Source organism: Homo sapiens, chromosome 8, assembly GCF_000001405.40.
Source record: "Homo sapiens chromosome 8, GRCh38.p14 Primary Assembly".
Lineage (NCBI taxonomy): Eukaryota > Metazoa > Chordata > Mammalia > Primates > Hominidae > Homo > Homo sapiens.
Genome location: NC_000008.11, coordinates 35750828 through 35765072, shown reverse-complemented (window position 1 = coordinate 35765072; position 14245 = coordinate 35750828). Strand labels below are relative to the sequence as shown.

At 39.1% G+C, this 14245-nt stretch overlaps 1 protein-coding gene across 18 annotated transcripts in view; it reads right to left on the bottom strand.

Annotated features, from left to right (window-relative positions):
* UNC5D (unc-5 netrin receptor D) overlaps positions 1-14245 on the bottom strand; it is a 561066-nt gene that overhangs the window by 31468 nt on the left and 515353 nt on the right. For 17 of the 18 annotated variants that reach the window (NM_001438417.1, NM_001438418.1, NM_080872.4 and 14 more), the window contains one exon: positions 5604-5753. In NM_001438417.1, the coding sequence (NP_001425346.1) occupies positions 5604-5753 (150 nt within the window). The other variant, XM_047421382.1, reaches the window with a different exon arrangement.

The window sequence follows — 14245 nt, the reverse complement described above, 5'->3', positions numbered from 1 at the left end:
TCCACTGCTTCAGTGCTAGTGCACTTCCCTGAAATTCCTGACCTGACTGGTTTTCTAATACCACTAGTAGCTTTCTCTGACCTTGGCTCTCTACAGAGGTTTTGTAATCACATAAATCCCTTGATTAAATTTCCCCTTGGTTGAAATGTCTTGAGTGCCTTCTATTTTCTTGACTAAAACAATCCTTGAAGACATTATTTTAGAAACAGATGTGAGTTGGGCAACCCTGAAAGGGGCTACTACTGAGTTCCAGAGGGAGGCTATTGTCTGGGGAAAATGCTGGAAGAGGCACCAAGCTAATGATCACTAAGTGTGCTTTTCACTGGAGGACAACTTGCTTGTACCATCAGCTGACAACACATGTCCGTTTAATGATATTGCTTTCCCACTTTCTTCTAATACAAAAATATTTTACTTATGATCTCTTTTCTTCCTGTGGTAGATCCTGCAGCAGAGGGCATTTCTGATTTGTGGGGCCTCCTGCAATGCCTACAGTAAGTCATTTTCTCTAAAATACTCCAAATGACTTTTCACTTGTATCATCATATGCACTTAGAAGTTCTGCCATTTCTCCTTGTTATCTAATGTGATTCTTTTCCTAATTCTCCTGAGCTTTGTTCCACTTTGTAAACCATGGGCAGCCCTTCCTCCACATCTCAGCCTCCTACACTTCTCTTTCTGCCTACTGTACTGTTCAAGATCCCATCTGCTCACACGTGCCCCAACTGCCATCTCTCTCTGAAGGACTCCAAAAACATCATCTCTGTTATTTATCTGATTGTCCTCAATTCCTGGCATTATACCCCTAAGCACTACAAATAATCTTGTTTGGTCTTTACTTCTCTGGCAAATTTAACTTTTGGAAACTGATTGCCATCATCTCTCTCTGCCATTGTTCTTCTCCTCTAATATTCTGGTTTCCATTATGCTTCCATTATGGCTAACTCTGGTCACCTACTCCCAGTCTTCCTGCCTTCAAGCTCTACTACATAGAGCAAATGAGGGGGTTGGGGCTTAATGGGAGAGGCAAATAGCTCAGGAAAACAGAAAGCAGAAAGCAGCTGATTGGGATTATTCAGGAAATAGCATTATGGTCTCTTTTTTACCTCTAATGATTGGGGGCAGGCAATGATGTGACCAGGCCACCTAGGAACTCTGCATTTATTACATGAGTCCTTTGCTTGGGAGACCACAGTGGTCGTTTGATCAACCTGCTGTGTGAAACTCTGTCTCCTGCCTGGCCTTCAAGGGCTTCCACCATCTCTTGCCCTGTACTTGTTCTCTCCATTCTTATTTCTATTAGCCCTCAAATAAACTCTCTTCTCCAAACCAGTGAATTTTTGTAGGGTTGCTTTGCACTATGCACTTCAATGAAAGTAACCATAACATAGCACTCTGGAGTTCACAGGTACTTTTGCCTAAGGTGGTTTTGCCCAGCTAAGCTAAGTAGGAGGCTTTTGTTTCCTAAAATTGAAATTTGAGTTATTATAGTGTAATGCAAGCACTTGGACTTCAGGGCTAGACAAAGAACCGTACTCAAGATCCAGCTCTTAAGCAAATGTACATTTTCTGCAATTTGATTTGAATCTTTGGTAATGCTTGCCTTCCAAAAAAAAAAAAAAAAAAGGCACTGACCATTCATTTAAAATGAGTATCTTCTCTGGTATCATTTGCTAAATTCTCTGTATTTTCTCCTAAAAACACTGGAAGAAATATAAAAGAGTAATGCCTACTGCAGAGATAATTCTTCCTTGCAGAAAGACATGAGAATTAGCACCAAAAAACAATAAAACAAAAACCCTCTTTTCTCTTTTCCATTCCATTGAACACAATCCAAACATTTTAAAAAATCTGATTTTAAGACAGTATCAAGGGAATATTTTTTATTGTTGACTTGAGTAGCAGCTGCCAATAGCATTCAACAAAACACTTAAAAATAATAGAATTAGAAGCACCGTGATTAGTGTGTTTTCAGGGCAATCATCTTCACTTTCATTTATTCAAAAAACAAAAACAAAAAACACCAACGAGCTCTCTGAGCTGAGAGGAATTATGTGGAAAGTAATATGGGAGGAGAAATTGTAGCAAAGTTATGGGTGTTTAAAGAATTCCGGAAATGTTTTCATTTTGACTCCTATTATAATTAGGTTCTTAGCAGATGGAGAGAATGTAAATCATATCTTAGCAGGAGACAGACACTGGGTTCTCCAAGATACATAGCATGCTGGAAAGACAGCTGCTTTTACCCTAGGGAGGTGACAACTTGACTTTGTGTTTTGTTGGCTTTTAAAAATAAATAATTTATTGTATTATGTTTATTACAGCTCCCCTACCCCACAGCTAGCAAGGAATAAAGGAAAGTGATTTAGGAGCTCTCAAGTCCCAGCAAGGAATAAAAGAAACTGATTTAGGTGATCTCAGTCCCAGTAACCTATTGAAAGAATAGAATTATTTACCTCCCAGAGAAGGGTTGCTAATTCTACAGAGGCGAAAATCACATATTCCTAATGTGGTAGAGTCTTAGGGACTGACAAGAAAATGGGAAATAATGAATTGTTTACTTGGGGAGACTAGCATCGTGGGCCTCAGGTTTTCTTTGAACCAAGGTCAGTGGCTGCTACCATAATGAGATCTCAGAAGAGCTGACATAGCCTTTCCTACTTCTCACCCAATATACCTGGCTTCATAAGCAATTACATCCATAAATTGTAATCCTCCAGAACCTAAACCAACAAGATTTAAGATCTAGTTGATCCTTCAATATACAGGCTCTCATCGCATATCTCAGGGCCCAACCTTGAACTCACACCATTCTAAAAACATTTCTCATGCAGTTTGCTGGTGTCTGATAGGGAAAACATTGTATGCACTGGGTACCTCCCTAGCTTGTACCTTTCTGGGAAGTTCTACCTTCCCAGAAGAAAATGGAAGTTTCCTAGTAGAGGAGGGGTTTGGTACTAATTGTAATAAGTCAGCTCCCAGATTCCTGATTTGAAGTTAGAGAAAGGGAGATTCACCAATTGAAGGAAAGTCCTATAAACAATGTCAGGAATAGTGTGATTTTCTCTTTCCACAATAGCTCTCTGGGATAACGAGAAATAGGCCCTGTTAGTTCCTAACCACTAAGCCCTAATGAAAAGCCATTATCCATTCTCCATGCCAAGTTTGTCAGTGCACATGATGTTCTACATGAGGTTCAAGTAGGCTGAACACAAACCCTCCCCTAAGTGCTTACATCTAATGCCCAGAGCAAACACAGCATGGTCATTAAGCCAAGCACAATATGCATTCACACAAGCTGAGGGATTTCAATGATGAGAAGGGCAAGGAAATTGGTGGTAGGGGTGATGAAGAGAAAGGAGGAATAGAGCGGAAAGCCATTTGGGGTAAGAAAAATGAAGTGGAAATGAAAACTCAGTGGCAAGCCTCCTGATGCAGAGAAAATTAAATTGTTTCTCAGCCTTCCAAGACTCTTTCAAATTATGCTCAATTACAAAAGGCAAATATTTATACATGTTCACAACTTCCATGTAATCCAGCCCATCCCGGCAGTAAAGCTTGCTGGGTTTTCTTGAAAGTCAACATCCTCTGGCTTTGGCTGGTCCTCTTGTACCCTCTGAGGTCAGTAAACACTTAGCCCCCTAAGCCTCTTCTTCCTGGGGCTTTCTTTGGTATCCCTAGTGTCGGAATTATTGTTTAAGTCATGCTGCAAGGTAATGGTTCCTTCATCTGATTTTTTATCTCCAAGCATTAAACTTAATAGTTCACTTTGGACCAAGTCACTTGCATCAGATCCAGTGAAATGAGGCCCTTATAACCTATAAAGATTAATACAGAGGAATTTGCATGACTATCAGGACTTGTTTTAACAATACTCTGAAGTTCAATTTGGACTAGAAACTTTGAATACTGCTTACCAGAAAGCAAAGAGACCTACATCTTGAATATCATAAACAACACAATATATTTATTCATAGAAAACTTCTCTCTATGGAAAAAATGTGGTGAATGTGCCCCTGGCCCCCTGAAAAAAAAAGTGTTCAGGGGAATGAGAGATGGTTGTGTGCTTTGAATGCACTAAACTGTACAGACGGGCAATTCCTCAGGTAATAAGTCTGAAAAGTCAATAGAAAAATGCAGCCCTGTCCAGTTTAAAAATCCTGAATTTTAGAAGTTGGATGGTTGGTGGTACAACATTTTTTTAACCATCATGATGCAATCAAGGTTTTCTCTTTGTGACTAGGCTTGTTCCCATTCTGACAAGCTGGTATACCTGTCTATAGTTAAAAAAAAAAAAAATGCTGCAAGGATGGAAGGTTACAAAACGCAGAGGACGCTACACATTATGCTGATGGGTAAAACAAAGAAGCCTGAAAGCATTCTGTGATTCCAGGTCAATGTGAGTCCGCCAGAAGCTTTTCCAGAGTGAAGGAAATATCCTGTCCTTAAGCACTTGAAGTACAGATGACTGGCTTTAGAAACTATGGTAGGCTAGCTAGCCGCTTACTGTAATATGTATCACTGGGAATTTTCGTAGACTTCAGTGGCAGGATCACAAGTTTCTAAGAGATCTTTTAAGGCTAAGCATGTACTTGAAATAACTAAATAGGATCCAAAGAGATTCTGAGTCTCCCTGAATTTTTTTTTTTTAAATCTCTAATAGGAGACATGTGGACAATAATAAGTATCTTTAGATATTTATAAAAGGACTCTTAAGAAAGGCGTGTTCTGGCTAGGCACGGTGGCTCACATCTGTAATCCCAGCACTTTGGGAGGCTGAGGTGGGCGGATCACCTGAGGTCAGGAGTTCAAGACCAGTCTGGCCAACATGGCAAACCCCGTCTCTACTAAAAAATAGAAAAATTAGCTGGGCATGGTGACGGGCACCTGTAATCCAGCTGCTCAGGAGGCTGAGGCAGGAGAATCGCTTGAACTCGGGAGGCGGAGGTTGCAGAGAGCCAAGATTGCGCCACTGCACTCCAGCCTGGGCAACAGAGAGAGACAGACTCCATCTTAAAAAAAAAAAAAAAAAGAAAAAGTAAAAGCCATGTTCTTTCTTTGCTTTTCAATTGGTAATTTCTTCTTCCCATCTTGCCTGATTCATTTGGAAGCAAGTACACTTCATATATGAAAGAAAAAAATCTCTTGTTTCCACCTGGCTAGCCATAGCTCTCTACAACTCAAAATCATCACCCTTAAGAAGTTCCTCACTGACATTCAGTTTATTCATTGCTGAATATGATTAAGATGCTGTCTCATAATGAACTGATTTTAATAAAAACAAACCAACTCACAAACCTGGCTCTATATTGTTAAACTGGCATCTTCAACCTATATTGAGCAATGATTCCAACAGGAGAGGAGAAATGCCATCTCACCTAACGTGCAAGCACCTTTCTTCCCACCCGTTAGAATGCTGTTAATTTATGACAATATGTTTCATTCCGTGTGTGTAGTCCAAACTGTTACATTTCTGTGACAGTTTTGAGGTGAAATCCATCCTTTAAAGGAGGAGGAAAATCAAGCAGACCCTTGCCAGGATCTGTGACATGCTTGCCGGTTAAAGCAAAGCCGTTTCTGTTAGAAACCCATTTGGCCAGTACCTGGCAGGCAGTGAATGGTTTAATTCTCCAGAGGAATGGGGGAATATCAAGGACAGAAATCTGAAGACTAAAGGTATTCCCTTTGAAATGCAGCAATTTTGGTTCTTCCAGGAGCTGTCCACCTTGATGCCTTTCATCTGAAACCACTTCCTATAGGAGAAGAAAAAGAAAATAAGATCAATAATGAAATATCCTGCTACTTACATATTTCCTATCTAGGGATACACATGCTCACTACCATGTGTCTTCCACAAATGGACAGAGAGCATAGGAGAAACATACTTCTTTACAACTCCATAGTCCATAAAGTTCAAGACTAAGGATTAACAACTGCTGAGTGACAAGTGTTGGGTTAGAAAGAGACAATTTGTTTTTTATTATTTGTGTTGTTTAGGCTTTAAACCACACTGTGCCTTTGTTTAAACTTCAAAGACCTCCCCTGACCCCAAGCAAATCGTAATACTTCTGGGTTTCCACAACTGTAGGAATTTCACTCTCTGACCACAATCAAGGGATGCATTCATGCTCAATCTGACACATCATCATAACTGAAAACAGCCCCCCTCCATTCTGGTTCAATTTTTCTTCACTAATGCAGGCACTATATGATATTTATTCTTTTGGCTTAAAATAAATGTCCCAGTGTGCATGTATCATGTTTATTTGTAGTAATGTTTGTAAAAGTTATTATACCAAAAGGTCAAGAAAAAATAAGTTGTGTATCAAGGTAGCTGTACCTCAGGAAAACAGAAATCAAATTTCTGAGGAAACACTCCTGTAGCTTTCACTGAAAAATCTTTACGTAATACAATCTAATACAAACTCAATCCACATACATTCTGTTGAGTAAACCATTTCATTGGTTCCAAATTTGTGGCATTAGAATCATATTGGAGAGACGATATAAGAAATGGAATAACAAAACAAATACATATTCAGGGAAGTGCTAAATGATTGTGCGGGGTTGAGGCTTTTGGTGTTACTGAATATAAGAGATCTCCCTAAGTCCATTTTTGAAATCACCATTAATTAATTGATATATTATTTCCTTGCAGAGCTAGGAGAAATTAAAACCTGAACTCCTTTATGTCCTATAATCTCAGATTCTTAAAAAAAAGACTGTTAGAAAACAAATAGGTTTATAAACACAATCAAACTTACATTTCAATTATTAAAGAGTAAAAACACCTCTACTGGTTATCTTATCCATCTCTTGTCCATAAGTAGAATGACAGTAACAAAAACATTTTTGACTAAAAAGTCACCCAAGTTTTATCCTTCACGTACACATAAACTGTTAATAGGTTGCTAGTATCTTTTTCCAGGACTAAATCAGTGGCATTTTCTCCAGCTCTTTGGTGTTGCTTGTGGGAAGGGTGTTTCTTGGGGCCCAAGGGTCAGTGTTGTAAACTAGCTGTGATGATAGAAATATTCTATCTCTGTGTGGTCCATTATGGTACCCACTAGCTAAAGTGGCTGTTAGCACTTGAAATGTGGCTAGAGTGATGAAGGAGCTGAATTTTTAATTAAAGTTAAATATCCACATGTGATTAGCAATGACCATACTGGACAGTACAGTGCTAGGTAATTCATAACCTTGTGGATTTCAGAGTTGAACGTGATAACATGGTAGCCAATGTCTGGTGGAGGCTACAAGGAATGGAAGAAAAGAGGCACTATGGGGAGGATAGGAAATTAATTCTAAATGCGTACTTGGCTGAGACATTAGGCAGTCTCTGGTTCCTTCTTTTGAGATTTACTAAATTTCCATCAGAGCTATGTTGGAGCTGGGCACTGGGTGTGCAGAAATGAAACAACCTCGCCACCAGGAAACTTACAATGTTGTGAAAGGGTCTGGACACTAGGCATTGTTCTAATATAGTATCTATTACCATACATGAATGCCTAGGAGGTTAAGAAAGACAGAAGGTGCCCCTGACCCAGATGGGAGGACAGACCAGGAAAGGAGTCTAGACATTACTAGGGGAGGTAGTATTTGAGCCAAACGTTGAAATAAATGGAGGAGCTGGCCATTTGAAAAGGAAGGAGAGAACACTCCAGATGCTGAGCAGGGCATTCACAAGCATGGTGGCTAGACGGAGCTGGGATGGAAGGCTGAGGTGGAAAGTGTGTGATTGGAGATGATGAAAATGTGGGGCAGAAACCAAATAACAAATTCTTGCTTGCTATGCTAAGGACTTTGTATTTTATTTTTGAGTAATGTTGCTCTGGTTTTAAGGTGCATTAAAACTCTTTTGGTGTCTTCATGCACTCAAAAGAGTACCAATCTTGTAAATTGAAGATAGCAGCATAAAATTCTAATCACATTTCTGTGTGGTCTTGGGCAAATTATTTTCTTTAGACTTCAGTTCCTTACCTGGGTTTATTTATAGCCAAGCAAAATAATTAATATGATAATATATTAACCTCTTTTTGCAATTCTGGTGCAAGATTAGAAACAAGCAGAAACAAACAAGAAATGTGCTTATTAAGACCATATTAAAGCCATAGTATAACAGCAACTCTTCTAAGTGTATTCGAACTAGGCTTTCTCAAATATACCCTTTTCTTTAAATTTAACTTTCCTTAATGGACATGAAGTAGTCGACGCCAGGAAATGAAGTGACTTGTTCAAGGTCATGTGTTATTTAGTGTAGTACTAGACTATTTTGTTAGAAACTACACACAATCGTTGTATTGAAGGGAACTTAAGATTTAGAGCACCAAGTGCCTTATTTACACATGAAAACATGGAAGTTCCCTGAAGAAAGTTATTTGCCTAAAGCCACGTGGCTAATGGGAGACCTGAGACTTTGACCAGGGCAACTTGATCATGGTCCAGTGTTTTTTCTCTTAGATTTCCCTGCCTTTTCTTACTACTATGCTTGACTTTCTTTTTTTCTTTTTTTTTTTTTTTTAAAGACTCATGTGAAGATCAGACTGTGATTAACTCTGTCTCATAAATGATTTTTCACTGGTGCAGGATATATGTATAAGATGACATAAGTCAATCTATATTTGCCCTAGAGTTATATATACTGTCTACACAGTCCTTGAAACTCAGAATGGATAATATTAAGAATTTAAAAAATAGATATCTGCTTATAATTATCATGGAAGAAAAGAGTACCTTTTTAAAAGTTCTGCTCTAGGGCCTCAAATTTAAATACAACATGATTTATTTTTTGCTCTTTTCGCTTACTCCTTAAATCTGCGCATATTGAGCCAACAATATACAATTAACAGTGTCTTGTAATCTTGTACAAAATATTAAGCAATTACAGTTATTCTATAACAAAACAATTATTAAAATGAAAAAGCCTGGTAATGAACTAATAATTGTATTTATAAATTTGTAAAGGCACAATTGGCTTCGAAGTTAAATAAATAGACTCCTGAGTATGAGCTTTAAAATACTCTCCAAATACAGTGGATTGCACTTAACACATAGTTCCCTGAGCCTACTGTATTACTCTGGGGGGCTAGGCCTGAGTATTTGTAAGTGTTTCTTGGATGCTTCTGATGACCAGCCAGGTTTGGACAACTCTGCTTAGCTAGTTCTAAATCACTCATATGGATCAATTATCCCCAAAGTGAGGCTTGATAGTAATTTGATTTTTCCAGTCTGCCTTCTATGTGACAAGGACCTCCTGTTAAATACCTCATTCCATTGTTAAACTAATAATCCGAGTTAATGGAACTAGGAAACAGGGTCTGGCCAGCTTTTGTATATGAAATGCACCTGAAGGCTCTGGATGGTGGTTTTTCTCAGCATTCTGTTTCATCATTTTACAGTGGGGTTGCAAGTCATCCAGTTCTAGAAGCTGTGGCCAGGAAAAACTTGTGCTTTGTGCCTCACTGAGCTCTTTATGTTGATTTAATCAGACAGGCAGCAATATTCAGGTGTGCTTCAGGGATACTAAAACAAGCAGGCTAAATTTACATATTTATGAGACAAAACTGTTTGAACTTACACACACACACACACACATACACACAAATTATGTCGCTATGGTGCTTTCCTTTAAATGCTTTACGTGAACAATATTTCCCAACATTGCATTATTGATAAACACAAGAACTACATCTAGAGGAAATCCTTTGAAATTAGATTCTAAATCCACCTTAATGCCAAGTAAGTAATGAGTACCAAGAGTACTGTATAGGAGTGCTGGGAGCAATGGCAAAAAAAACCCTAGTTGTTTTTTTCTATTTTCTTTCTTAGATAAGATAGATAGGGTAACAGCTTAATTCCTTGCTTTCCTATGTCAAGGTTTGTTTGGGCTGTGCATGCATGTGTGTGTTCGTGTGTAATAAAAGACAATAACCAAAATCCAGGTCTTAAAATGTTACTACTTCAAAGATATATCACCATTTCTCAATCTTTGGTTTGAATTTATCAAAGGAGGTGATGTCAAACATACAAGCATAAAATGGCAGCCCTAATTATTACAAAAACACAAAAGCAAGAAGGACAAGGAGTCATTTACTGCTTGTCTTCTTATTCTTTTCTCACCTACCTACAGGGAGATGACATTTTTATTTTTGAAAAACATAGCAGATTTAATTTTTCATAGAGACGATTTTAGATGTGTTTATCAGAACAGATCTTCAGAAATCTGAAACTAAATTATGTCTTAGCCAGGTAAACAAAGTATTTTGTTTTTGTCAAGGAAATTGCTAGTATTACTCAGATAAGCTACCCCCAGAGCAAATGAGAATCAAATAGAGTAGCCCTGTAGGGGGTACAGGGAAAGGAAGACAGGACTAAAAATAGAGAATGTCCCTATTTAGATACTGAAATTCTCTCAAGGAATATTCTATGGTGGGCCCATTATATTGCCTGGTCCCCACCCAGTTCTGAGAGGACAGGTGGAGTTGAGTCTCTACACGTTCCTTCTTGCAAGGTCTTCCGGGGAGAAGGTAGGCATTTCAGCATTTTATGGGATACAATCTCCCAGTGAGACATGAATGAAGTGAAAGATGCAACCCCGCACTTAACCCCAGCGTCCTTTTGGTTAACAGCACAGTTAGAGTTGGGCACATATCTGTTATCATTCTTTGAGATATGAAAGATGCACTGCAATAAATACAGCAGCTGTAACAACCATGTTCACATTGATTTCCTAATCACAACAAACGTATCATCATAAGGATAGTTGAAGCACATTCCAGGGTGGGCAATTTCTGCAGAAATGCTCCATGAAAAACTGCTTACTGATTTTGATTAAGAAGTCAGGGTTCTTTTAGGGTTGCAGAAAATATTATTACTGTATACTCTATTTTCAGCTTACGCTACAGAAGTTGGGAGAGCTAAATACTAATTTGTGAGGTCTTTTAGGGGTTCAAAAAGGGAACTGTTGTTAAGGCTTTCCTAAAATAGAACTGTTTTAATGGGTTAGTAACTAATTTCCTCCTCCAATGCAATATCACATATGAAGCTATCACACTATGAAATGATTTGGGATATGCAGGTGATCAAAATAAATCTCTGCAGAAGGCCTTGAACACATTCACTTAGCAAAGTAAAAATCCAGAAAGCAAGACAGTTTCAGAAACAAAACCCAGAAACTAAGACGGAGGAGTACATGGCTGTTTCCTGTACTAGGGAGTCTCAGTTCAGAAAAGCCACAAGTTTCATTTTAATCCATATGTGGGCCAGAAAAGTTATTCAAGCAAGGTTGATGATCTTTCAAAACCCCAAGGGGGATACATGGCCTTTCTGCTCATGACAGCTGTCATATACATCCTGTCAATAACAAGTACAACCAAACGCAGCTTTATTTGCCATTGTAGGAGAGAGAAAGAATCACTGGAGGTAAAAAGATTAGGACAAATGGGGTCAAAGGTATTTCTACCAAAAAACATTATTCTAAAGCAAAATTAAAGAGTTTTACTAATTTAAGAAATACCTCTCTGCTGGGCATGGTGGCTCACGCCTGTAATCACAGCACTTTGGGAGGCTGAGGTGGGCGGATCGAGACCATTCTGGCTAATATGATGAAACCCCATCTCTACTAAAAATACAAAAAAATTAGCCAGGCATGGTGGCAGGCGACTGTAGTCTCAGCTACTCAGGAGGCTGAGGCAGGAAAATGGCGTGAACCCGGGAGGTGGAGGTTGCAGTGGGCTGAGATCACGCCACTGCACTCCAGCCTGGGGGACAGAGCGAGACTCCATCTCAAAAAACAAAAAAAAAGAAATATCTCTCAATGATGAAATACATTTGGATTCAATTAGAGGGAGAATAACATTCTCCCTAGCACTGTCTAAAAAGATTCTATTACCAACCAGAAATGGGTAATGGTTTGAAAAGCTATGGTTATGGTGTTTTCATGACGTCCACAGTAATTTGTATTCATCTGTGAACAGTGGAGCCATGGTAGAATATGGTAGAGGTGAAAATAGATGATCTGAAAGTCACTGAGAACAAGCTCTTTAAGTACATGTCTATCTCACTGCTATATACATCAGCTGGGAGACTATTATTCAAAGAAAACTCCAGACTGGTTATGAGGGCTGACTTCCAAGACAATTGTGTGAGCAGCTCCACACAGTCACAGTAGTCAGCAATGGGTTATCTATATCAGCCAGGAGACTGGAAATCTTCCATGATGCTCCATGGTTACTCCAGTTTACTCAGCTTTTAAAATCTGGCTGAGTTACTAAACATCCAACTTGAGTCATGGTACATTTTATAACTGGTTAGTAGTAGTAGTGACCCCAAGATGAACCCTCTATTTAAGATATTTATTCTTTCTTTTTGCTTCCTGAATATCTGTTATATATTTTCTCTTGGAGCAATCCTCTTATTGTGGGGTGGGGAGTGCAGAGGAAGAGTATTAAATGACAATGGTGGGAGGAGGTTTAACTACTTACACTGAAGTTTCTTATTCCACAGAATGGCACACCTTTGAAAGCCACCCCTTTTGTGAGCAGCCAAAGATGAAGTGTGCCCTTCACAATGACCTGTGCTACTTAAGAGATACTCAGGGGCGGTTCAGGAACACAGGCTGGCTCTGTGTCACCTTTACTGGCTTATGTTCAGGAGTGAGGTCGTGATATTTTTTTCTACTGGTAAACATGAGTTTTCCAGCTCAGTGTCTTAAAATCTAGTTACTGAGGAAATACTCTGCATAATGGACTTAATGACCCAAAACTGGAATAGCAGGGATCTGGAATGAGGTGTGTCAGGAGAGCTATGCTATTTATATATGGGCAGAGCTTACACAGGCAGTTCTGCATCATCCTTGCTGCTATTAATAAACTTGCAGTCTTCCTGAGTAGCTAAATTAAAATGAATCTTACATGATTAAAAGTACCAAAAATGGAAAGGAACCTTGAACCATCTCTGCCCTAGTAGCCCTGATAATTAATAGACTATATGTCCAGGATAGAAAATGACTACCTTGTGATAGGTATGATTTATAATTGTGGTTCCCTAACTACAACCTTCAGTTGATTCAAGCAATTTTCTCACTGCCCTCTGCACATCAAATAACTCTTTTAGTTCCTGTGACTCATGCTGCTTTTTTTCTCTTGATGTGGTGTTCCTTTCTGTTTTGTTCCTAAATCGCATCCATCCATGGAAATTTGTAAAAGAGTTCCCAAAAACTCTTCTCCGTTTGTGTCTGTGTTTGTTTGTTGAATTCTGATTATGTTTCGGGTCAGTTGCATAATTTAGCACACAATGTTCTGCACATGCGTTAGTTTAGCCCTTCTCTCTTCTTGAATGCCAAGTACCCCAACCTCTCTTACATTGCTGACCACACAGTAACACGGCTCTTGCTTCAAGGTAGGTATCCCAGTCAAACCAGTGGTGAAACTGCCATTGGAAAATTATAACAGAAAATTATTACAGTGAAAGAGATCTGACCTAACCAACTTCATCTTGCTCCTAACCTCCAAGCTGTCCTTGTTCATTCCTGTGTATAGGCCAAACTAACTTTGGGAGGAACTTAGCTTATATTATAGTTTAACTTTGAAACAAAGACAATAACAGCCCTTTCCCAAAACAAATCCCCTTCCTGCCTGGAGACTAGATTGCCTTTGTAGGACTAACAAATCGGCCACAAGATTAGAAATTATGGTTTCGGAGTCATGCAGCTGGAGGCTACAAGATTCTGACACTCTCCAAATTGCTCCTGGGGATAACATTGCTATTGTAAATCCTAAAATCAGTGCTTGAGATATTTTGCAGACCCTGCACATGGATCAGTAGGCACCACCCTGTTGAATAAACTGGCTCATCTATCTTGTGGCCCCGACCCAGGAACTGACTCAGTGCAATAAGACAGCTTAGACTCCCTATGACTTCATCTCTGAAGCAACCAGTCAGCACTCCCACCTCACTAGCCCCTACCCACCAAATTATCCTTCAAAACAGTGATCCTTAAATTCTTGGGGAGACTGATTTGAGTAATAATAAAACTCCGGTATCCCACACAGCCGGCTCTGCGTGAATAACTCTTTATTGCAATTCCTCTGTCTTGATAAATTGGCTCTGTCTAGGCAGCAGGCAAGGTGAACCCACTGGGCAGTTACAGTGGCGTGGGTTCATTTTCTAGACCCTCAGTAATAAAATTTTCAATTGATACTGATCTTTTGGAAAACACACACTTTCATGACACCAAAAGAAAATT